The sequence below is a fragment of the Homo sapiens genome, chromosome 1 (assembly GCF_000001405.40).
Source record: "Homo sapiens chromosome 1, GRCh38.p14 Primary Assembly".
NCBI lineage: Eukaryota > Metazoa > Chordata > Mammalia > Primates > Hominidae > Homo > Homo sapiens.
The window spans coordinates 35,088,286-35,112,663 of NC_000001.11; the positions used below are offsets into that span (position 1 = coordinate 35,088,286).

The following is a 24,378-nucleotide window of genomic DNA, read 5'->3' on the forward strand; positions in this document are numbered from 1 at the left end:
CACGTGCCTGTAATCCCAGCTACACAGGATGCTCAGGCAGGAGAATCGCTTGAACCCGGGAGGTGGAGGTTGCAGTGAGCCGTGATCGTACCGCTGCACTCCAGCATGGGCAACAGAGTGAGACTCCATCTCAAAAATGTGTTTATGTGTATATATATATATATATATATGTGTGTGTGTGTGTGTGTGTGTGTGTGTGTGTGTGTGTGTGTGTGTATGTACATATATGTATATATATTTTATATTACTACCAAGTAGTATTGCCCAGCAGGAAGATGTGCAACATTCATCCTTTGACTATTAATACCTGTACTCTTTCATACTATGATTTAGCCCTAGTTTGGAAAGATGAGTAGGGCTATATTAAAAGAAAGTCTGTAGGACTTATTTTACTCTAATGTGCATCTTGTTGGAAAAGGAAGTAATGGATCTGTCACTAATACATGTTTTGCTCTTCTTATAGCCAAACAAATGTTGCATAGCATTTTCCCTTGCCTCAGAAATTTTCAGGATGCTTTCCTTTTTTTTTTTTTTTTTTGTTTTTGAGACAGAGTCTCACACTCTTGCCTGAGCTGGAGTGCAATGGCATGATCTCGGCTCACTGCAACCTCTGCCTCCCAGATTCAAGCAATTCTACTGTCTCAGCCTTCCGAGTAGCTGGGATTACAGGCGCCCACCACCACGCCCGGCTAATTTTTTGTATTTTTTAGTGGAGATGGGGTTTCACTGTGTTGGCCAGGCTGGTCTTGAACTCCCGACCTCCTCATCCACCCACCTCAGCCTCCCAGAGCGCAGGGATTTCAGGCATGAGCCACTGCGCCCAGCCTCCACTATTTTTATGTTTGTATGGTGACACATTTGAAGGAGTTGCAAGATGCCAAAGCTCATAGGTACTTTGTTTTGTTTTATCTTACGAATAACAATAATTGTACCTCACGTAAACCTCATTGGCTGTGATACCGCCACTGCACAAAACTCGGTGCTTTGTTTTTAATTGATGTTTAAGACTTGCATGGCATGTGTACTTTCAGGTGAAGGGAATCTACCTAATGACAAATAGTTAATTTTTAGTGAGTTTTGCTTTACTGTTTGTGTATAATGCTCAAATGGGCTGGACAGAGGCTGTATGAGCTATTTATTGCACTTGACTCTCAGGCCTTATTTAACTTTCTGCATTGGGATAGGAACTTTCAACAAAAGCTGAGCTAAAGATGGAAATGAGGGAAGGTGGTTGAGCCCCAATCACAGAAATAAAAAATAATGGCAGAATTACTTGGGTCTTTCATGTACTAACCCAGAATAAAACCATAGTCCTGGAATTACTCCTGTAAGAGGTTTTTTGTTATTTTTTTCTTTTTTTGAGCCCATTATTCTAAGTGATCCTGTAACAACTTCAACTTCTCCACATTTGTGTTAGTTATCATCTGCCCTCCATAATGATTAGTTGTAAGGCTTTTTTTTTTTTTTTTTTTTTTTTTGAGATGGAGTCTTGTTCTGTCACCCAGACTGGAGTGCAGTGGCATGATCTTGGTTCACTGCAAGGTCTGCCTCCCAGGTTCACGCCATTCTCCTGCCTCAGCCTCCCGAGTAGCTGGGACTACAGGTGCCCGATATAAGGCTCTTTTTTTTTTTTTTTTGAGACAGAGTCTCGCTCTGTCGCCCAGGCTGGAGTGTAGTGGCGCGATCTCGGCTCACTGCAAGCTCCGCCTCCCGGGCTCATGCCATTCTCCTGCCTCAGCCTCCCAGAGTAGCTGGGACTACAGACACCTGCCACCACGCCCGGCTAATTTTTTTGTATTTTTAGTAGAGATGGGGTTTCACCATGTTAGCCAGGATGGCCTCGATCTCCTGACCTCGTGATCCACCCACCTCGGCCTCCCCAAGTGCTGGGATTACAGGCGTGAGCCACCGAGCCTGGCCTATAAGGCTCTTTTTTAAGGATCTAGGAGACAGGAAGACTTGCACTCTGAAGCCAAGCTAGGGTGGCAGGAAGGGAAAGGGTTCCAAAGGATTTAGAATCAGAGGTAACAGCTACCAGATAAGTGGAAAGTAGGCCTCAGTCAAGGAAAAAGGAGAAAAGAAGGAACCAATCTGTCTTTGAAAAAGAGACCTTGCTGGGAGGGATAGCATTAGAAGCTATACCTAATATAGGTGACAGGTTGATGGGTGCAGCAAACCACCATGGCATGTGTATACCTATATAACAAAACTGCACGTTCTGCACATACACCCCAGAACTTTAATGAAAAAAGAAAAAGAGACCTTGCTTTCGTAGTTCCTCAAAAGTTGTAAGATTGACCAAAAAGGAATCTATTGATTTGGATAGTGAGGAGAAGCAGGCAGGCATGTGTGATGGGAAAATAGACTTAAGACTTATTTGACTGGGTGTGGTGGCTCACACCTGTAATCCCAGCACTTTGGGAGGCCGAGGTGGGCGGATCACCTGAGGTTGGGAGTTCGAGACCAGCCTGACCAACATGGAGAAACCCTGTCTCTACTAAAAATACAAAATTAGCCAGGCGTGATGGCACATGCCTGTAATCCCAGCTACTCGGGAGGCTGAGGCAGGAGAATCACTTGAACTTGGGAGGCTGTGGTTGCAGTGAGCTGAGATCGCGCCATTGCACTCCATCCTGGGCAACGAGAGCAAAACTCTTGTCTCAAAAAAAAAAAGACTTAATTAAAAGGTAGATTGATCTAATTTCATAATTAGATTTAGGGAGAAGAAGAATAATTCCAGGTTAATCCTAGATTTCTGGCATGGGAAATTAGGTATATGACACTGCTATTTACCAAAAAAAAGGAATATCTGTAAAACAGGTTTGTGGGGGTAATAAAAGAATATAGTTTTACTGAGGCAAGAGGATTGCTTGAGACCAGAGTTCAAATCCCTTGAGTTTGAGGGACCTGTGGAACATTCAAGTGGAGATATTTATTTATTTATTTATTTATTTTGAGACGGAGTCTCCCAGGCTGGAGTGCAGTGGCGCGATCTCGGCTCACTGCAAGCTCCGTCTCCCGGGTTCACACCATTCTCCTGCCTCAGCCTCCCAGTAGCTGGGTCTACAGGTGCCTGCCACCACGCCTGGCTAATCTTTTTTGTATTTTTAGTAGAGACGGGGTTTCACCGTGTTAGCCAGGATGATCTTGATCTCCTGACCTCATGATCCACCCGCCTCAGCCTCCCAAAGTGCTGGGATTACAGGCGTGAGCCACTGCCCCGGCCAAGTGGAGATATTTAATAGGCAATTAGGTATATGGGCCACAGCTCAGGAATGTTGGGGAAAAACAGCCCATAGGTGATAGTTGAATCTGAGGTTGTGATCATAGGCTGGGAGCAGATGGACACCTGTCGTTGAAGCACTTTGGGAGGCTGAGGTGAGAGGATCACTTGAGCCCAGGAGTTCGAGATCAGTCTGGGCAACATAGGGAAACACCTTCTCTACAAAAAAAAAAAAAAATTACCTGGGCACTGTGGCACATGCCTGTGGTCCCAGCTACGTGGGAGACTAAGGTGGGAGAATTGCTTGATCCCAGGAGGGTGAGGCTGCAGTGAACTGAGATAGTGCCACTGCCTGAGTGACAGAGCGAGATCTTGTCTCAAAAAAAAAAAAAAAAAAAAAAGAGAAAAAGACTTGGTTTTTGTTTGTTTTGTTTTGAGATGGAGTCTCGCTCTGTCTCCCAGGCTGGAGTGCAATGGCACAATCTTGGCTGACTGCAACCTCTGCCTCCCGTTTTCAAGTGATTCTCCTGCCTCAGCCTCCAGAGTAGCTGGGATTACAGGCACCTGCCACCATGCCCAGCTAATTTTTGTATTTTTAGTAGAGACAGGGTTTTGCCATGTTGGCCAGGCTGGTCTCGAACTCCTCACCTCAGGTGATCTACCTGCCTCGGCCTCCCAAAGTGCTGGGATTACAGGCATGAGCCACTGCGCCCGGCCAAAGACTTCGTTTTTTTGTTTGTTTGAGACAGAATCTCGCTCTGTTTCCCAGGCTGGAGTGCAGTGGTGCGATCTCAGTTCACTGCAGCCTCCGCCTCCTGGGTTGAAGTGATTCTCCTGCCTTAGCTTCCTGAGTAGCTGAGATCACAGGCACACACCACCACACTCGGTTGATTTTTTTTTTTTTGTATTTTTAGTAGAGACGGGGTTTCGCCTTGTTTGCCAGGCTAGTCTCAAACTCCTGACCTCAGGTGATCCACCCGTCTTGGCCTCCCAAAGTGCTGGGATTACAGGCATGAACCACTGTGCCCGGCCAACAGGTCTTTTCTTTTCTTTTCTTTTCCTTTTCTTTCTTTCTTTTCTTTCTTTCCTACCTTCCTTTCTTTCTTTCTTTCCTTTCTTTTCCTTTTCTTTTCTTTCTTGACAGAGTCTCGCTCTGTCACCCAGGCTGGAGTGCAATGGCGCGATCTTGGCCCACTGCAACCTCTGCCTCCCGGGTTCAAGCTATTCTCCTGCCTCAGCCTACCGAGTAGCTGGGATTACCAGCGCATGCCACCAAGCCTAATTTTTTGTATTTTTAGTAGAGATGGGATTTCAGCATGTTGACCAGACTGGTCTCAAACTCCTGATCTCACGTGCTCCACCCACCTCAGCCTCCCAGAGTGTTGGGATTACAGGCGTGAGCCACTGTGCCCAGCCAACTTCGTTATTTTTTTAAAGCCAGGAGTTCAAGATCATAGAGCAGGCAAGGAGAGTACTGGGGAATTGTGTTTTTGTGGAACACAAACATTTTAGAAGCAGGTAAAATAAGTATTTGTGAGAAATACTGGCAAAGAGGTAAAAGACCTCGGAGTAAGAAAAATGAAAGAAATTTCAAGAATGGGGAAAGGGGTGGTCAGAGAGAGGGCGGATAGCTTTAGATTCTAGAATGTATTTAAATGCTTATATCCTGGAATCAATAGGAGGGGAAGAGGAACTGAAGAAGCAAATGAGAAGGATAACTGGAGGGCAGAGAGGGGTAGTGAGTACAGATTGGGTTAACCTCAGATAGAAAGCTTTACATTTCTTTTTTGTTTGTTTGTTTGTTTGTTGAGACACAGTCTCACTCTGTCACCCAGGCTGGAGTGCAGTGGCTCAATGTCCATTCACTGCGACCTCCACCTCCCAGGTTCAAGCGATTCTCGTGCCTCAGCCTCCCGAGTAGCTGGGATTACAGGTATGTGCCACCACAACCCGGCTAATTTTTGTATTAGTAGAGATGGGGTTTCACCATGTTGGCCAGGCTGGTCTCAAACTCCTGACCTCAAGTGATCTGCCCGCCTTGGCCTCCCAAAGTGCTGGGTTTACAGGCGTGAGCCACCGACCCTGGCCGAAAGCTTTACATTTTCTCCTATTGAAAAGTTAAAAATAAACTTGTAAGTTTTGGTGGTTTTATGCTGCATTCAGTCTTGGGGGAACAGAAACGGAGACTATTTCCAGAAGAAGGCACAGAGTTGGTAGTAGCTACCAGAGAAGTATAGAGCAAAACTATATTGAAGAATAATGGATGAAAGGAAAGAAGCCAGTGTTCTTTCAATGAAGGAACCTTGATGCCAAGCTGTCTAAAGACCCTTTTGTGGTTCTAGAAAATTACCATATTTAAAAGGACTAATTTTAAAATCAAACTCTTTATCAATATTTTATTTTAGGAATCTGGAAACTGTTCTTCAGGAAGAAACCCATTAGTTTGGAACTGGAGAATTCCTTTGCATCAGATACTAAAATGAAAGAACCACTTTTAGGTGGTGAGTGTGACAAGGCAGTGGCATCACAGCTGGGGCTGCTAGATGAAATTAAGACAGAACCCGACAATGCTCAAGTAAATATTTTCCCTTATTTCCATTATTTCTAGAGCAGCATTTAACTATAAATTTTAGTTACAAAGGTGCTGAAATGATTCATTGAAAAACTCAAATCCTTATCTCCTCCAAAGCAGTTAATTAAATAATACAAGGTATATGGTGTTAAGTGCCACTACAAGTATATGTAAGAAAATTATTTGAGGAAAGATTAGACTGTTTGGAATTGGGTTTTTGCATAGGTAAAAGGATTGTTTAGGGTGTTGTGGGCCTAGCTAAGGTTAACACTTTTTTTCTTTTGCCAGATTCTACTTCCAGAGAAGGTTAACACATTTTGTTTTTGTTTTTCTTAACTTAATACAAATTACATTTTTTAATCTAAATTAATTTATGTAAATTAAAAAAAATTTTTTTAGACATATCACTAAAGAACCTATAAAGGATGAACTGACTTGAACTGTGAGTATTGTTTAAGTAGGGAAAACATTCCTTAGAATGTTTGTATATATGGCCAGGCACAGTGGCTCACACCTGTAATCCCAGAACTTTGGGAGGCCAAGGTGGGAGGATCACCTGAGCCCAAGAGTTTGAGACCAACTGGATGACAAGACCTTGTCTCTATAAAAAATACAAAAATTAGCCAGGCATAGTGGTGCACGCCTGTAGTCTCAGCTACTTCAGAGGCTACAACAGGAGGATCGCTTGAGCCCAGGAATTCAAGGAAGCAATGAGCTATGATTGTGCCATTGCACTCCAGCCTGGGTAACGAAGCGAGACCCTGTCTCTTAAAACAAAAAAAAGGAATGTTTGTATATGAACTGTGAACCAGCTGAAAGTTCTAATGAAAGAAAAAAATCACTAAAAAGGGTAATTTATTTGTAGTATTCTATTTAGAAATAGCCTAAAGTAGATTAATATTAAATAAGGGTATGCTTACCATTGAGTTGTTAACACTGGGGAATGTTACTCATCTAGGAACTATCTATTGCTTCTTCATGCCATGGACATTCAGGCATAGATCAAGTTTAGATATGGTGGCTATGAAATTGCCTCCTGCTCTGAAAAAATTGTCCTTTGTAAGAATCATTCTGCCCAATTAACAATTTCTTGGGTTAAGGTCTTTATGAAGACAATTAGCTGTTAATGATTAGAGCAAGCAGGGAAGGCTGGGTGTGGTGGCTCATTCCTGTAATCCCAGCATTTTGGGAGGGTGAGACAGGCAGATCACTTGAGGCCAGGAGTTCAAGACCATGGGCAACATCTCCACTAAAAATTAAAAAATTAGCCGGGCATGGAGGCATGTGCCTGTAGTCTCAGCTACTTGGGAGGCTGAGGCAGAAGAATCACTTGAACCCAGAAGTAGGTTATAGTGAGACGAGATCGCGTCACTGTACTCCAGCCTGGGTGACAGAGTGAGATCTTGTCTCAAAAAAAAAAGAAAAAAAAAAAAAAACAAGTAGGGAAAATAGTTGTAATTCAATATGTCTGCTCCCTATTGATAGTGAATGGAGGGATTTTGTTGACAAAGATTTTGATGTCACACCTGGATACCATAGAAAATAATGTATTGGGTGATTAGTGTTGTCAGCCAAAGAGCACCAAAAGGGTAGTGCATACCTGTGTATTTTGGTTCAATTCAGTTATACAATTCATTGACCAGACTTGACCACAATTTATCATTTTCTGTTGAATGACTGGTTGTCTTAAATTCATTGTATTCACTATTTTTAATTATTATTTTTTTTTTCTTTTTAGGAGTATTGTCATAGGCAACAGTCCAGAACTCAGGAGAATGAACTGAAAATAAATGCTGTGTTTTCAGAGAGTGGTAATAGAATTATTTAAGTTAGTTATGTTTATTCAGACCAATACGACAGCTGATTCATTCTTTTTTAATGCCTTTGAATATTGCTTTGTTTGTGTTGGGTTTTAAGTCCAGGAGAAGTAACCTGTAAGAAAATGAAAGAGAGGCCGTGCACAGTGGCTCACACCTGTAATCCCAGCACTTTGGGAGGCCGAGGCAGGCGGATCATGAGGTCAGGAATTCGAGACCAGTTTGGCCAACATAGTGAAACCCTGTCTCTACTACAAATACAAAATTAGCCAGGCGTGGTGGCGCATGCCTGTAATCCCAGCTACTCAGGAGGCTGAGGCAGGAGATTTGCTTGAACCTGGGAGGCAGAGGTTGTGGTGAGCCAAGATTGCACCACTGCACTCCAGCCTGGGCAACAGAGCGAGACTCTGTCTAAAAAAAAAAAAAAAGAGAAGAAAATCAAAGAGGCTGGGCATGGTGCCTCATGCCTGTAATCCCAACATTTTGGGAGGCCAAGGTGGAAGGATCAGCTTGAGGGCAGGAGTTTGAGACCAGCCTGGGCAACATAGCGAGATCCTGTCTCTACAGAAAATTTAAAAACCAGGTGTGGTGGTGCATGCCTATAGTCCCAGCTACTTGGGAGGCTGAGGCGGGAGGTTTTTTTTTTTTTTCTGAGATGGAGTTTCCGCTCTTGTTGCCCAGGCTGGAGTGCAATGGCACGATCTTGGCTCACTGCAACCTCTGCCACCCAGGTTCAAGCAGTGCTCCTGCCTCAGCCTCCCAAGTAACTAGGATCACAGGCCCGTGCCACCACACCCAGATAATTTTGTTTGTTTTGAGACGGAGTCTCGCTCTCGCTCTGTTGCCAGGCTGGAGGGCAGTGCATGATCTCGCCTCACTGCAGCCTCCACCTCTCAGGTTCAAGCGATTCTCCTGCCTCAGCCTCCCGAGTAGCTGGGACTACAGGCATGTGTCACCATGCCCAGCTAATTTTTATAGTAGAGACGGGGTTTCACCATATTGCCCGGGATGGTCTCAATCTCTTAAACTCGTGATCCACCCACCTTGCCTCCCAAAATGCTGGGATTACAGGCGTTAGCCACCACACCTGGCTAATTTTGTATTTTTAATTGAGATGGGGTTTCACCATGTTGGCCAAGCTGGTCTTGAACTCTGACCTCAGGTGATCCACCTGCCTTGGCCTCCCAAAGTGCTGGGATTACAGGCGTGAGCCACCGCACCAGGTGGTGAGAGGGTCACTTGAGTACAGGGTGTCAAGGCTGCAGTGAGCCATGATCGTATCACTACACTGCCTAGAGTGCAAAAGAGGGCAACAGAACAAGACCCTGTCTCTAAAAAAAGAAAGAAAGAAAATAAAGGAATGCCTACTTAATTTTGTGTAAATAACAATTTTTTTTTCTCCCTCTTGTGTTTTTATAGCTTCACAGTTGACTGCAGGCATTCAGCTTTCTCTGGCATCATCTGGCGTGAATAAAATGCTTCCTTCAGTTTCAACCACAGCTATTCAGGTTTCCTGTGCTGGTTGTAAAAAAATTCTCCAGAAGGGGCAAACTGCTTATCAGAGGAAAGGATCTGCTCAACTTTTCTGCTCCATACCATGCATCACTGAATACATTTCATCTGCCAGTTCACCAGTTCCTTCTAAGAGAACTTGTTCAAACTGCTCAAAGTATATAATTCTAAATTATGCCCCCTTTTATTTCCCTACCTTGTTCTTGATCATAGTCTTAGTTGTAATTTCTACATTTTCTTTTTTTATTTTTTGAGACTGAGTTTGACTCTTGTTGCCCAGGCTGGAGTGCAGTGGCACGATCTCGGCTCACTGCAACTTCCACCTCCTGGGTTCAAGCGATTCTCCTGCCTCAGCCTCCCAAGTAGCTGGGATTACAGCCATGCACCACCACGCCCGGCTAATTTTGTATTTTTTAGTAGAGATGGGGTTTCGTTCGCCATGTTGGCCACGCTGGTCTTGAACTCCTGACCTCAGGTGATCCGCTTGCCTTGGCCTCCCAAAGTGCTGGGATTACAGGTGTGAGTCACTGCGCCCGGCCATTTTCATTTCTTTTGAAGACGTGTCGTCTTGGTTTAGTAAAAAGAAGTTTTTTCTACTTTTAGTTCCTCTGATGGATTCTGTAGAAATATTTTTTTTTGCAGAAATTAATGTGAAAAGTACTGTTTCTCTTCACCTTTACTCTTTTCATTTGAAATTCTCTGTAAATGGGATTATTGTTTATCCATTCTGTTCTATTTAACTGTATAGGGAGCAACCTACTAAAAAATTAATCCTATGACAGTTAGTTTGGATTTTCCAAGATGTGGAATAATATTATATTTCTTTTATAATGGTAAATGAAGTGATTCTTTTGAAAAATTGATGGCCATAGATAAACCTACATGTCTCTATGTAATCTTTTAAAAATTTATGTGAGAATGTGTGAAGAATCAGTGTCATTTTGGCTTTGAGAGTCCTAAGGCTGTATAATTATGGTTGTTAGCACTTAGGATATGCTAATTTTTAAATGTTCTTGTTCAGAACAAGAAAATCCATAGGCAACCACAGTGCTTCTAAATATAACAAATTTCTTTCAAATAATACTTGTTTTGGACTCAGGTTGCCATAATTTGAATTTTGCTTCTTCTGTTTAGTTATATTTTACTACTCAAAGTTTCATCCCTGAGTTGCTAGATCAGCATCACCCAAGAGTTTGTTAGAAATGCACTTTCTCAGGCTGGGAGCAGTGGCTCACGCCTGTTATCCTAGCACTTAGGGAGGCCGAGGTGGGCAGAATGCCTGAGCTCAGGAGTTTGAGACCAGCCTGGCAACACAGTGAAACCCTGTCTCTACTAAAATACAAAAAAATTAGCTGAGCACTGTGGCATGCACCTGTAATCCCAGCTACTTGGGAGGCTGAAGCAGGACAATTGCTTGAACCCGGGAGGCTAAAGTTGCAGTAAGCTGAGATCAGGCCACTGCACTGACTGTCTCAAAAAGAAAAAAAAAGAAATGCACTTTCTCAGGTCTTACCCAGACCTGCTGATTCAGAACTGCATTTATCGCCATGTGATTCCTATACATGCTAAAGTTGGAGCAGTATTGAGAACTTCTTTGTTACTTAGTATTCGTATCTGTTTTTGATAAATGTACAAAAGAATTATGAGCATTAAATAGTATATTTAAGTGGTCAGAACAATACCAGCATGTAGTAAGAACTCAATAAATGTTAACTATTATTATTCTCTTAACAAACTCACAAACCCTTTTGATGGGTTTGCTTCAGCTCCTCTGGCTGCTGCTTCAGTTATTATCTGTTGCTTCAGGTCTTATTCCATGGCACGTTACTTACCATTCTCTTTTGCTTTTCAACCCTTCAATACTATACTAGTCTTTTGTCTTTTTACTTTTTTGCTATGGGCCATATAGTACTCTCTTCAGCCTGCTTTCTCTCCCTGCAGAGTCATAAAACTGGAAGGGACCTTAGAGACTCACTACACATCTTCAGCAGATGTCCCAGACAGATTGAAAAAGGCTGAAGCAGGAAAGATTTAGTGTGTAAGTTCTCCTAGGCATGGAAATCCAATATGAGTAAAAATCTGAGATAAGTTTTACTTCCTCTAGAATAAAATTTTTTTATAAAAAATATTATATTGTAGTGGGTAGAAAGATGGTAGTAAATTTTAGGCTGGAAAAGGCCATCCATGATTCAGAGTAGGCTGCTTTTTTCAAAACTTAAAAATTCCACATTAATTAGCCTTTTACATAAATTTTAGCTATTCTTCTGGGGTTTTTTTATCTTCCAGTGAAACTATCCTGAACTGAAAATAATTTTCAGTTACTTATTTATTTATTTTTGCAGAGACAGAGTCACTATGTTTCCCAGGCTGATCTTAAACTCCTGAGTTCAAGTGATCCTCCTGCCTTGGTCTCCCAAAGTGCCGGGATTACAGGTGTGAGCCACCGTGCTGATTTTCAGTTTTGTTTGTTTGTTTGTTTTGTTTTGTTTTGTCTGAGACGGAGTCTCGTCTCAATCTGTCACCCAGGCCAGAGTGCAATGGTGCAATCTTGGCTTACTGCAACCTCCACCTCCTGGGTTCAAGCAATTCTCCTGCCTCAGCCTCCCAAGTAGCTGGGATTACAGGCGTGTGCCACTGTGCCCAGCTAGTTTTTTTATTTTCAGTAGAGATGCAGTTTCGCCATGTTGGCCAGGCTGGTCTCGAACTCCGGACCTCAGGTGATCTGCTTTCCTCGGCCTCCCAAAGTGCTGGGATTATAGGTATGAGCCACCACGCCCTGCCTGATTTTTAGTTACTTTTTAAGATTTCTTTTATAGGAATGATTTAATATCTGTTTTGAGTCAATGCACTTTTTATTCTATTTCATGGACCAAATGGAAGATCCCTTTGAAGATGACATTTTAAATCTTATTAGAAAGATGCGATTTGTGGGCCAAGCGAGGTGGTTCACACCTGTAATCCCAGCACTTTGGGAGGCCAAGGCAGGAGAATCACTGGAGGTCAGGAGTTCGAGACCAGTCTAGCCAACACCACAAATCCCTGTCTCTACTAAAAATATAAAAATTAGCCAGGCGTGGTGGTGTGTGCCTGTAAACCCAGCTACACCAGTGACTGAGGCAGGAGAATTGCTTGAACCCAGGAGACGGAGGTTGCAGTGAGCTGAGATTGTACGACTGCACTCCAGCCTGGGCAACGGAGTGAGACCCTGTCTCAAAAAAAAAAAAAAAGATGTGACTTGTTCTTGGGAACTTTGTATTTAAGAAGTGTCATTTCTTCACTTTAGTATCTCAGTTGGAACCAACCGCAAATCCTGAATGCAATCAATAAAGTCCAAAATAGGCCCCTGCACTAAGGTTTGATTTATTTATCGGAAAGTTGTTCCTAATTTGTTGGCGTTTCTTTTTTTTTTTTGAGACAAGGTCCCTGTCTGTCACCCAGGTTGGAGTGCAGTGGCACCATCTTGGCTCACTGCAGCCTCGACCACCTGGGCTTAAGCAATACTCCCACCTTTACCCTCCCAAGTAGCTGGGATTGCAGGCACATGCCACCCTGCCTGTCCAGTTTTTGTATTTTTTTGTAGAGATGATTTCACCATGTTGTCCAGACTGGTCTTGAACTCCTGGGCTCAAGTGATCCTCCTGGCTTGCCCTCCCAAAGTGCTGGCATTATGGGCGTGAGCCACCGTACCCAGCCAACATTCTTTTTTTTTTTTTTTTTGAGGCGGAGTCTCACCGTTTTGCCCAGGCTGGAGTTCAATAGCGGGATCTCAGCTCACTGCAACCTCCGCCTCCCAGGTTCAAGCGATTCTTCTGCCTCAGCCTCCCTAGTAACTGGGATTACAGGTGCCTATCACCATGCCCCGTTAATTTTTGTATTTTTAGTAGAGATGGGGTTTCACCGTGTTGGCCAGGCTGGTCTCCCAACTCCTGACCTCAGGTATCTGCCTGCCCCAGCCTCCCAGGATTACACATGTGAGCCACCGTGCCTGGCCAACATTCATTTTTCAATTTTTTATAAAGCTTTAGTAGATTCTTAGAAGCCAGCAATCTAGTATGCTGATAGCAATAAAAACTAAGAAGCATTTTCAGACTTCCATGCGTCGCTGATGTAGTTTCTTCTTCCTCCCTTCCCATCTGGCTGGTATCTTTATTCTGTCTGAAAGGTATGCCTCAAATATCTTTACCTTTTGTCTATTCCCACACCATTCCTCACTCTCCTCTTACAACCGCCCACCCCCCAAATTAATTCTTCTGTGGTCTGTGATTTTACAGTGTCGTGTTCATAACTCCCAAAACATTGATCACAAAATACTAATGTTTTTAAATATTTTTAGTAGAGACGGGGTTGGCCAGGCTAGTCTCGAACTCCTGACCTCAAGTGATCTGCCCACCTTGGCCTCCCAAGATTAAAGGTGTGAGCCACCGCGCCTGCTATTAGGTGTATTGATATTTTCTATAGTGGCTGTTCTCAAACTTTCTGGTCTCAGGACTTCTTGTACCCTTAAAAATTATTGAACACCCAAAGAGCTTTAGTTATGTAGATTATGAATATTAACTGTATCAAAAATTAAATGACATTTTAAATGAAAAATACCCATATTTTTAAAAATTGATAAGTATTGTTTTATCAGTTTTGCAAATCACTTTACATCTAGCTGGATTTTTGTATCTGTTTCTGCCTTCACTTTATTGCAAAGTGTTGTTTTGGTTGAAGTCTGAAGAAAACCTGGCCTCATAAATAGGTGATTGGAAAAGGGGGGAGTGTTTTAGTAGCCTTTTAGATCGTTGTGGGTGTTCTTTGATACTACAACCAAAAATCAAGTGGTAGTTTCTTAAAGGCTAGTTGCAATGTGGGATCAAACTTTTTGTACCATGTGGATCAGTGAACTTTTTGCACTCTGTTATGTTAGAATTCGTTAATCTATCTTGTACTTTGAATGGATCTTTTACCCGTGAATGATTTTTGTAATATGCTATTGTAGTTTGGAAAATACTGGTTCACTGAGTTCTGCAGATCTTCTAGATGTTCTCATTTTATTATGCAGTATTTTAAAAATCACCACTAATCTCAGAAAAGTTTTTAAGTTTTGGGTATCGATCAAGTTGAAGTTGGAAGATACAAGTTTTCCAAAATTCTAATTATCACTTGAAAGACAAAATTTTATTGTTGGCGATAAATACTGTCGTTTTACTTGAAGTGACAGTCTCATTTTTTTCATTTTCAAGAAAATATCTGCAGATACCCACTTCTGGATAATAGTTTGTCTTTATTTACAGTAAACTGTTTACAGTACTTTCAAGTAAAAATGTTTTCCATGAAAAAAGTGGCTAATTCATTTATAACTCAACATTTCCATATGGGCTTTTCCTTGAGACAACCATCATCCTTTGGTGTACAGAAGTACTTTATGCTTATGTCCTGTGTTGTCACACGGAATTTTTTTTTCTCACCCTACCACTTGGCCAAGACAGAATATTTTTTAAATGTACTTAAGGATGAAGTTTAAATAATTTAAAATATTTTGCTGTTTCATTGAGTACTTCCTTAAGTGAAACTGATACTTTAAAAAGAATTTTTTTTGGCAGTGAATGTATAGCAGGGAATAACATGAATATTAGCACATTTTGGTGCCACTGCCTTGATTTCTGCTAAGGCTCTGACGGTTTTACCCACCATTGCCTTTTTTCTTTTCCAAATTCATTGAAGTGAAATTTGTATACCAAGAAATTAACCATTTCATTGGCATTTAGTATATTCATAATGTTGTGTGACCATCCCCTCTATCTTGTTCCAAAACATTTCCATCACTTCAAAGTAAAACACCTTAAACACTAAGCAGTTTCTCCTAATTTCCCTCTCCCCCCAGTGCCTGTCAACCACCAGTATGCATTATATCTATAGATTTTATCTATCCTGAATATCTCATGTAAATGGAATCATATATGACCTTTTTGTGACAGGGTATTATTACTCTGTTGCTCAGGCTAGAGTGCAGTGACTTTTTGTGTCTGGTTCTTTCCCTTAGCATAATATTTTCAAGGTTTGTCCATGTTGTAACATGTATCAGTACTTTATTCTTTTTGTTAATAGGCGAATAATATTCCACTGTATGTATGTAACACAATGTGCTTATTCATTCATTCACTTACTGATGAACATTTGGGCTGTTTTCATCTTTTGACCATTGTGAATAGTGCTGTTATGAATATGCACGTACATGTGCTTGTTTGAGTACCTGTTTTCAGTTTTTTTGGGTGTTTACCAAGGAGTGGGATTGCAGGGTCCTACCATTAGCTTTGCAACATCAGTTGCAAAGTGATGTTGCAAACATCAACACGGTGAAAAAGCAAATAACATCTTACTATGAAAATAGTTTTGATCTTGGGGACTCCCCCAGGGATTTGAAGACCATATTTTAAGATTCTCTGTCCTATAGATTCTAGAGTTGCTCATGTGAATATGTGATCTCTCATCATCCCTCGGTTTTCACTAGCACCACCTAATAATACAGGCTGGCTAGTCTCCAAAACTACATCTTCAAAGTCAGGCATGGTGGGATTATGTGCCTGTAATCCTAGCTATGTGGGAGATTGAGGTGGGAGAATCTCTTGAGCCCAGGAATTTGAGGCCAGCTTGGGCAACACAGCAAGACCCTATCTCTTAAAAAACAAAACTGCACTATTAGATGTGCTTTATAATCTGTAATGTATAGATGAGAAAATTAAAATTTAGGGAGTATAAATGTGACAGAACTGGGTACCAAATTCAGGTTTTCTTATTTCAAGGCTAATGTTCTTACTCTAATTTGAGAGGTCATTTCATTTATAAAGAGAAGTTATAATTGTGTTTAAACTGTTTAATGATGTCCTTGTTATTTATTCTTAGAGACATTTTAAATCCAAAGGATGTGATTAGTGTCCAGCTGGAAGACACTACCTCTTGCAAAACTTTTTGCAGCCTATCTTGTCTTTCATCATATGAAGAAAAAAGAAAACCATTTGTTACCATATGTACTAATAGCATTTTGACCAAGTGCAGCATGTGCCAGAAGACTGCTATTGTAAGTTCCAATTATAACCTTTACAGGGATTCTGATGATTCTGCTTAAATATCAGAGTTTTTACTGAATCTTTTTATTAAATCCTAGATTCAGTATGAAGTAAAATACCAAAATGTGAAACATAATCTTTGCAGTAATGCCTGCCTTTCAAAGTTTCACTCTGCTAACAACTTCATCATGAACTGCTGTGAGAACTGTGGCACTTACTGTTACACCAGCTCTAGTCTGTCCCACATACTTCAGATGGAAGGACAGTCTCATTACTTTAATAGTTCAAAGAGTATTACAGCATATAAGCAGGTATGAATAAAGACCTATTGTTTCTTCTATTAACTGGCCTATGAATGGTTTCACTCTAGGAAAATGTGGGAAGTAGTTTTTGGTACCCTTTGGAATAATGTCGATAAGTTGATGAAGATGAAATAGAAGGCTTTTAACGGTTTCTTCTTGCATAAGAATTCATGATAAATGCTATATGGAGATTTTCCTAAATAATCTCAGATCGATTATCTCACCTTAAAGAAAAGGCAGGCAGGCTGGAGCCGGTTTATAAACTAGAAATAAGTATAGCAAAAATAACAATAGTCTGCTGGTCAATAAAACCCAAACACAAAAGTATTTTTGTTTTTATTTTTATGTATTTATTTTATTTCTTTCTTTTTTTTTTTTTTTTTTTTTTTGGTGAGATGGAGTCTTCCTCTGTCACCCAGGCTGGAGTGCGGTGGCGCGATCTCGGCTCACTGCAAGTTCTGCCTCGCGGGTTCATGCCATTCTCCTGCCTCGGCCTCCCAAGTAGCTGGGACTACAAGCACCCGCCACCACCACGCCTGGCTAATTTTTTGTATTTTAAGTAGAGATGGGGTTTCACTGTGTTAGCCAGGATGGTCTCAATCTCCTGACCTCGTGATCCACCTGCCTTGGCCTCCCAAAGTGCTGGGATTACAGGCATGAACCACCACACCTGACCTTATTTATTTTTTTTGAGACGGAGTCTCGCTGTCTTGCCCAGGCTGGAGTGCAGTGGCACAATCTTGGCTCACTGCAACCTCCGCCTCCCAGGTTCAAGCAATTCTCCTGCCTCAGCCTCCCAAGGAACTGGGATTACAGGCGTAAGCCACTGTGCCCAGCTATTTATTTTTTTTATTTATTTTGATTTTTTTGAGACGAGGTCTTTGTCAGCCAGCTTGGAGTGCAGTGGCAATCATGGCTCACTGTAGCCTTGACCTCCTTAGCTCAAGTGATCCTCCCACCTCAGCGTCCCGAGTAGCTGGAACTACAGGCACACACCACCACACCTGGCTAATTTTTAATTTTTTTGTAGAGACAAGCTCTTACTATGTTGCCCAAGCTTGTCTTACAACTCCTGAACTCAGCTGATCCTCCTGCCTTGGTCTCCTAAGGTGCTGGGATTACAGATGTGAGCCTAGCCATGTTTTTGTTTTTAATTCCACGTGTTTAACTCTTACACCAAACAATGCAAAGATGAATCAAGAATGTCACATGTGGACAGTCATGGTGGCTTACACCTGTTATCTCAGCACTTTGGGAGACCAAGGCGGGAGGTTCAGTTGAGCCAGGAGTTCAGAACCAGCCTGAGCAACATAGCAAGAACCTGTCTTTAAAAAAACAAACAAAAAATATCACATGCTTTCTCTGAGTCAGTCATAGGAGGAAATAATCCAGTGAGATTAGTATTATTTGTCCCTATTTCTGATAGACAAGCTCTGGGTGGGTGCTTCTGAGAGCAGAGAAAGAGCAAATGAGATGAGGTGGGACTTCTTAGATATGTTGCTTGTTCATATCATATTTTGAGACCCAACTCTATCCCTATACAGACTTCCTTAAAAACAAGCAGTTGGCCGGGTGCAGTGGCTGATGCCTATAATCCCAGCACTTTGGGAGGCCGAGGCTGGCCGATCACCTGAGGTCAGGAGTTGGAGACCAGCCTGGCCAACATGGCGAAAACCCGCCTCTACTAAGAATACCAAAATTAGCTGGGCATGGTGGCAGGCGCCTATAATCCCAACTACTTGGGAGGCTGAGGCAGGAAAATCTCTTGAACCCGGGAGGTGGAGGTTGCAGTGAGCCGAGATGGCACCATTGCACTCCAGCCTAGGCGACAGAGTGAGACTCCGTCTCAAAAAAAAAAAAAAAAAAAAAAAGCAGTTGAAGATGGGAGTCAAAACAAGCCATAATTCAAATAGATCATTTGTGACTCACATCTTTTCTATGGCCCCCATCTTGAGAGTATCCTGCCTTGGGACCAGAACGGAAAGCACAGAAGACTTCTCCCAAAGGCAGGAAATAATATTCCTTTTTTTTTCTTTCTTTCTTTTTGACACTCAATAGGCCTTGTTCTGGGTTGTTTTTTGTTGTTGTTGTTGTTGTTGTTTGTTTTTTGAGACGGAGTCTCGCTCTGTCGCCCAGGCTGGAGTGCAGTGGCGCAATCTCAGCTCACTGCAAGCTCCGCCTCGCGGGTTCACGCCATTCTCGTATCTCAGCCTCGCGAGCAGCTGGGACTACAGGTGCCCACCACCACGTCTGGCTAATTTTTTGTATTTTTAGTAGAGACAGGGTTTCACCGTGTTAGCCAGGATGGTCTCAATCTCCTGACCTCGTGATCCGCCCGCCTCGGCCTCCCAAAGTGCTGGGATTACAGGTGTGAGCCACCGCGCCTGGCCGGCCTTGTTCTGTTTTTAAAAGCCTATATGCCGGGCACGGTGGGTCACGCCTGTAATCCCAGCACTTTGGGAGGCTGAGGCGGGTGGATCACGAGGTCAGGAGATCGAGACCATCCTGGCTAACATGGTGAAACCCCATCGTTACTAAAAATACAAAAAAAAAAAAAAATTAGCGGGGTGTGGTGGCGGGCGCCTGTAGTCCCAGCTACTCTGGAGGCTGAGGCAGGAGAATGGCATGAACCCGGGAGGCGGAGCTTGCAGTGAGCCGAGATCGTGCCACTGCACTCCAGCCTGGGCGACAGAGCGAGACTCTGTCTCAGAAAAAAAAAAAAAAACCTGTATTGAGTACCCAGTTGTTCAGCTTATGTGATGGGGCAAGACTGATTTGGGTAAACGAGTTAGTTAACAAGCACAGCCTAACACTTTCCCCTTGCATCTGAATGTAAGACATCATGTGACAGTGATAATGGAGTAAATCTACAATGTTAGTGAACTATAATCCAGAATTAGAAAAATGTCCAAATATGTGAATCTAAAAATGGGGTAGCTTTTTATTTTTAAAAAGTGGATTATTAGATGTAATTGTAATTATTTTGGCCATATGTTAATAGAATATATTAAGTTAGCCTTCCCTTATGAATATTAAACTAACTTAATTATAAATGATACCACTATTGGGCCAGGTGCGGTGGCTCACGCCTGTAATCCCAGCACTTTGGGAGGCCAAACGGGAGGATCACTTGAGGTCAGGAGTTCAAGACCAGCCTGGCCAACATGGTGAAACTCCATCTCTACTAAAAATACAAAAATTAGCCGGGCATAGTGGCACACACCTAATAATCCCAGCTACCCGGGAGGCTGAGGCAGGAGAATTGCTTGAACCTGGGGAAGGTAAAGGTTGTAGTGAGCCGAGATCATACCACTGCACTCCAGCCTGGACAACAGAGCAAGACTCTGTCTCAAAAATAAATAAATAAATAAAAATAAATTATGCCACTATTGTTGCTTAACGTTAAAGATTAGTGAATTGTTAAGATTTCTCAAAATATAAAAGTTGTTCATACTAATAAAGGATAAAAATAGAAATTTTCGAAATTATCCTTTTTGTTTTGTTGTGCCTTTGCCAATATCCTGTTCTCTCACAGAAAAATAAAACGTATATGTATTTTTTTGTCTTTGTACTTTGGTGGGTTTTGTTTTGTTTTGTTTTTGTTTTTTTGAGACACAGTCTTGCTCTGTTGCCCAGGCTGGCGTGCAATGGCACGATCTCAGCTCACTGCAACCTCCGCCTCCCAGGTTCAAGCAATTCTTCCATCTCAGCCTCCCAAGTAGCTGGGGTTACTTGGGCGCACACCACCACACCCAGCTAATTTTTGTATTTTTGTAGAGACGGGGTTCCACCATGTTGGCCAGGCTGGTCTTGAACTCCTGACCTCAGATGATCTGCCCGCCTCGGCCTGCCAAAGTGCTGGGATTACAGGTGTGAGTCACCGTGCCCAGCCTGTCTGTGTACTTTGCATCTCCAAAAGCAGTTTTGTTCCATCGGTGATTTTTTTTTTTTTTTTTTTTTTTTAGACTGAGTCTTGCTTTTCCACCCAGGATGGAGGCTGGAGTGCATGGTGTGAGCAAAGCTCACTGGAGGCCCAACCTCAGGTGTTCAAGCAATCCTCCTGCCTCAGCCTCCCATGTAGCTGGGACCACAGGCATGCGCCACCACACCTGGTTAATGTTTGTGTTTTTTGTAGAGATGGGTCTCACTTTGCTGCCTAGGCTGGTCTCGAACTCCTGGGCTCAAGTGATCTTCCTGCCTTAGCCTCCCAAAGTGCTGGGATTACGGGCAAGAGCCACCACACTGAGCCTGATGTATTATTTTTTCTTTCTTTTTTTGAGACAGAGTCTTACTCTGTCACCCAGGCTGGAGTGCAATGGCATGATCTCGGCTCACTGCAACCTCTGTCTTCCTGGGCTCAAGTGATCCTTCCCACCTCAGCCTCACAAGTAAATGGGACTACAGGCGCACGCCACCACACTAGGCTAATTTTTTATTTTTATTTATTTATTTATTAGAGATGAGGTATCACTATTTTACCAGTCTGGTCTCAAACTCCTGGGTTCAAGTGATCCCCCCGCCTCAACCTCTGAAAGTTGAGATTACAGGCGTGAGCCACTGTGCCTAGGCTCTGACATATTCTGAAATCCAGGAATATTGGTTCCTGTTTGACTAGAAAGAATAGGTGGTGAGCATAATCTTTACAGTAATGCCTGCCTTTCAAAGTTTATATCCTTTCTTTTGCATGGTTACTACTTACTGAACTCACAGTACTCTATACTTTCTATTGCTTGTATGCTGCTTTCTTACAATATGCTTGTAATTTTTACCATGAAGTTAGCCTAGAAAAACAGTGATTCCCACAGTATCTTGTAAGGTATTTAAGTTAAGCACTCCTTCCTGGCTCCTCCTCAGCATCGGTAGACATCTTCCCAAGTTAATTCCCAAGCTACCATTGAGGACAGATCTATAACTATATAAGGCCTTTGTTTATCCAGTAGGCTTTGACTGCCTGAAATGAACTTCTGTGACCACTTTCTTCATTGCTTTTTTTTTTTTCCCTTGAAAAGGAGTTTCACTCTTGTTGCCCAGGCTGGAGTGCAGTGTCACAATCTCAGCTCACTGCAACCTCTGCCACCCAGGTTCAAGTGATTCTCCTGCCTCAGCCTCCTGAGTAACTGTGATTACAGGCGCTCGCCACTACACCTAGCTAATTTTTTGTATTTTTAGTAGAGACGGGATTTCACTATGTTGGCCAGGCTGGTCTCGAACTCCTGACCTCAGGTGATCTGCCTGCTTTGGCCTCCCAAAGTGCTGGGATTACATGCATGAGCCACTGCACCTGGCCTTACTGCTTTCATAGGTATTATTATTATTGCTGTTAAATATATCTGATAAATAATAAAAATCATTTTCAGATTTGCCAATATTCTTTTAGTTATTGCAATCTGTAGTGTCTTTTTAAGAAAATGTAAAAACTGTCTTAATTGTTATTCTTTTTAATATTCCAACTAAAAGCAGTGGTAATAGGTTCTTCTTCATTAACAACATATCATATACCAGGAATATGAATATTATTTTAATCTCTAAACAGAAACCTGCCAAACCACTTATATCTGTTCCTTGCAAACCATTGAAGCCCTCAGATGAAATGATTGAGACTACGAGTGATTTGGGGAAGACAGAGCTTTTCTGCTCTATTAATTGTTTCTCTGCATACAGTAAAGCTAAGATGGAATCTTCTTCAGGTAATGTTTGTTTAGCAATTGTAGGGGTTTAGTAATTATTAATAAATAATATTATTTGACTTTAATTTATAACCTTGATTCATTTTCAAATTAAACCGACTTTTAAAAGTCAAAACAATCTAAACTTGTTGCAAAGAACTGTTTTTCAGTATTTTTGTATAAAAGGAAGGCTACTTTACCACCAGAGATTTAATATTTGTAGGCCAAGCACGGTGGCTCATGCCTGTATTCCCAGCACTTTGGGAGGCCAAAGTGGGCAGATCGCCTGAGGTCAGGAGTTTGAGACCAGCCTGGGCAACATGTTGAAACCCCGTCTCTACTAAAAATACAAAAAAAATTAGCTGGGCGTGTTGGTGGGTCCCTGTAGTCCCAGCTACTTAGGAGGCTGAGACAGGAGAATCATTTGAACCTGGGTGGTGGAGGTTGCAGTGAGCCGAGATCGCACCATTGCACTCCAGTCTGGGTGACAGAGTGAGACTCCATCTCAAAAATAATAATAATAAAAATTAAAAGATACATGTCTTTTTTTAGATTATTTAGTAAATGAATATATGTATGTTTACATCAATATATATTGAGCACCTACTGCAAAACATGGTACATAGGAGGCACTTGGTCAATATAGAGTTTAATACATTTACAAGACTGCTTTTATTAGAATATAGAATGTTTTACTTAGCCCTGTTTTGTAAAAACAAGTTTTCATTACATTTTTCACATGAAATAGAAGTGATTGTAAATGCTTTAAGACTCAATAATAAAAAAGCACAAATAATCTGAGCCAACTAAGTATTCCATCAAAAAGCCTCATGTAGGACCAGTGGTGCTATTTACATAGACCATAGAGTGACTAATGCCTCTGGGATTTGTAAGTCATACAAACTGGCTTGTTACAGAAATTTCTGCAATAGTGGCTTGGGCACCAACCTAGCGCTCCATTGATGTTAAGGTTTATGAATCCTGGAAGAGTTTGAAATAGATGCCCATTAGGAGATTCAATCAGAATCTCTTTTCTTCATGAGTAATTTCACAGAAAAATTTGCTCATAATTTTAAACAAATTCTTTAAAAGGACTGGGAAATTGTGTACAAAGGTAAAAGACATAAAATGTTGGAGAAGTGTAAATTTTCAGTGTAATGTTGTAATTATAAATACGATACTAAAGAACCTGGCTATTCCTAAGCCCTAATAAAAATTACTTCAGTACCTACCAATTCCTTAAGCTATTAGATGCTTGCATTATTTCTTTAAACAGTATTACTAAACAGTACTTTCTGATGATTGATTTTGCCTTGTTTATAAGAAATCTTTTTATTGTTGTCAGTAAGTGTTGTTTCTGTGGTGCATGATACTTCAACAGAGCTTCTTTCTCCAAAGAAAGATACGACTCCAGTTATAAGCAATATAGTGTCATTGGCAGACACCGATGTTGCCTTGCCCATCATGAACACTGATGTCTTACAAGGTAAAAGTTGATGTTAAGATATTTGACATAAATATTGTTTTGTCATACTTGATAAATCTGTCTATATGCTAAATTTTCTTTTTGTTTCTTATATGAAATAAGCAAATATAGTTTATGATGCTATTTTATAGGTTATAGTATATAAGATCTTGAATTTATGCTCTATTTTAACAGATACAGTTTCTTCAGTAACAGCAACAGCAGATGTCATTGTGGATGTAAGTTTTAACTTTTTTTACCACTGTCTTTTTTTAATAAGCAGATTTTTGTTGTTGTTGTTGTTGAGACAGAGTCTCGCTCTGCCACCCAAGCTGGAGTGCAGTGGCGTGATCTCAGCTCACTGCAACCTTTGCCTCCTGGGTTCAAGCGATTCTCCTGCCTCAGCCTCCTGAGTAGCTGGGATTACCAGCGCCTGCTACCATGCCCAGTTAATTTTTGTATTTTTAGTAGAGAAGGGGTTTCACCATGTTGGCCAACCTGGTCTCGAACTGCTGGCCTCAGGTGATCCGCCCACCTTGGCCTCCCAAAGTGCTGGGATTACAGGCATGAGCCACCACACCTGGCCCAGATTTTTTATATATATATATAATATATACTATAATATATAAAAATATAAATATATAATATAAATATATTATAATATATTGTATATAATATAAATATATTATAATGTATATTTATTATATATTATATTTATATATTTAATATATATTTTATGTATTATGTATTCATATATGGGGTGTGTGTGTAT

At 41.6% G+C, this 24,378-nt stretch overlaps 1 protein-coding gene across 20 annotated transcripts in view, besides 1 other annotated feature; it reads left to right on the forward strand.

Annotated features, from left to right (window-relative positions):
* The window catches only part of ZMYM1 (zinc finger MYM-type containing 1), a 59,033-nt gene that overhangs the window by 28,500 nt on the left and 6,155 nt on the right, over positions 1 to 24,378 (forward strand). For 3 of the 20 annotated variants that reach the window (NM_001289088.2, XM_047430816.1, NM_024772.5), the window contains 8 exons: positions 5,629 to 5,798; positions 7,534 to 7,606; positions 9,032 to 9,281; positions 16,010 to 16,184; positions 16,272 to 16,484; positions 22,009 to 22,162; positions 23,487 to 23,627; positions 23,802 to 23,845. In NM_001289088.2, the coding sequence (NP_001276017.1) occupies positions 5,703 to 5,798; positions 7,534 to 7,606; positions 9,032 to 9,281; positions 16,010 to 16,184; positions 16,272 to 16,484; positions 22,009 to 22,162; positions 23,487 to 23,627; positions 23,802 to 23,845 (1,146 nt within the window). In that variant the 5' untranslated portion in view covers positions 5,629 to 5,702. Of the gene's footprint in view, positions 1 to 463; positions 891 to 5,034; positions 5,157 to 5,628; positions 5,799 to 7,533; positions 7,607 to 9,031; positions 11,163 to 11,535; positions 11,558 to 16,009; positions 16,185 to 16,271; positions 16,485 to 22,008; positions 22,163 to 23,486; positions 23,628 to 23,801; positions 23,846 to 24,378 lie in introns of those variants that run through there. The other 17 variants (XM_047430815.1, XM_047430777.1, NM_001289090.2 and 14 more) reach the window with 13 other exon arrangements.
* Positions 1,436 to 1,936: an enhancer, noted in NCBI's record as "H3K4me1 hESC enhancer chr1:35555322-35555822 (GRCh37/hg19 assembly coordinates)". NCBI's record gives its function as "activates a minimal SCP1, AML or CMV promoter by ChIP-STARR-seq in primed H9 embryonic stem cells {active_cell/tissue: H9 hESC(primed)}" and the evidence as "EXISTENCE:reporter gene assay evidence [ECO:0000049][PMID:30033119]".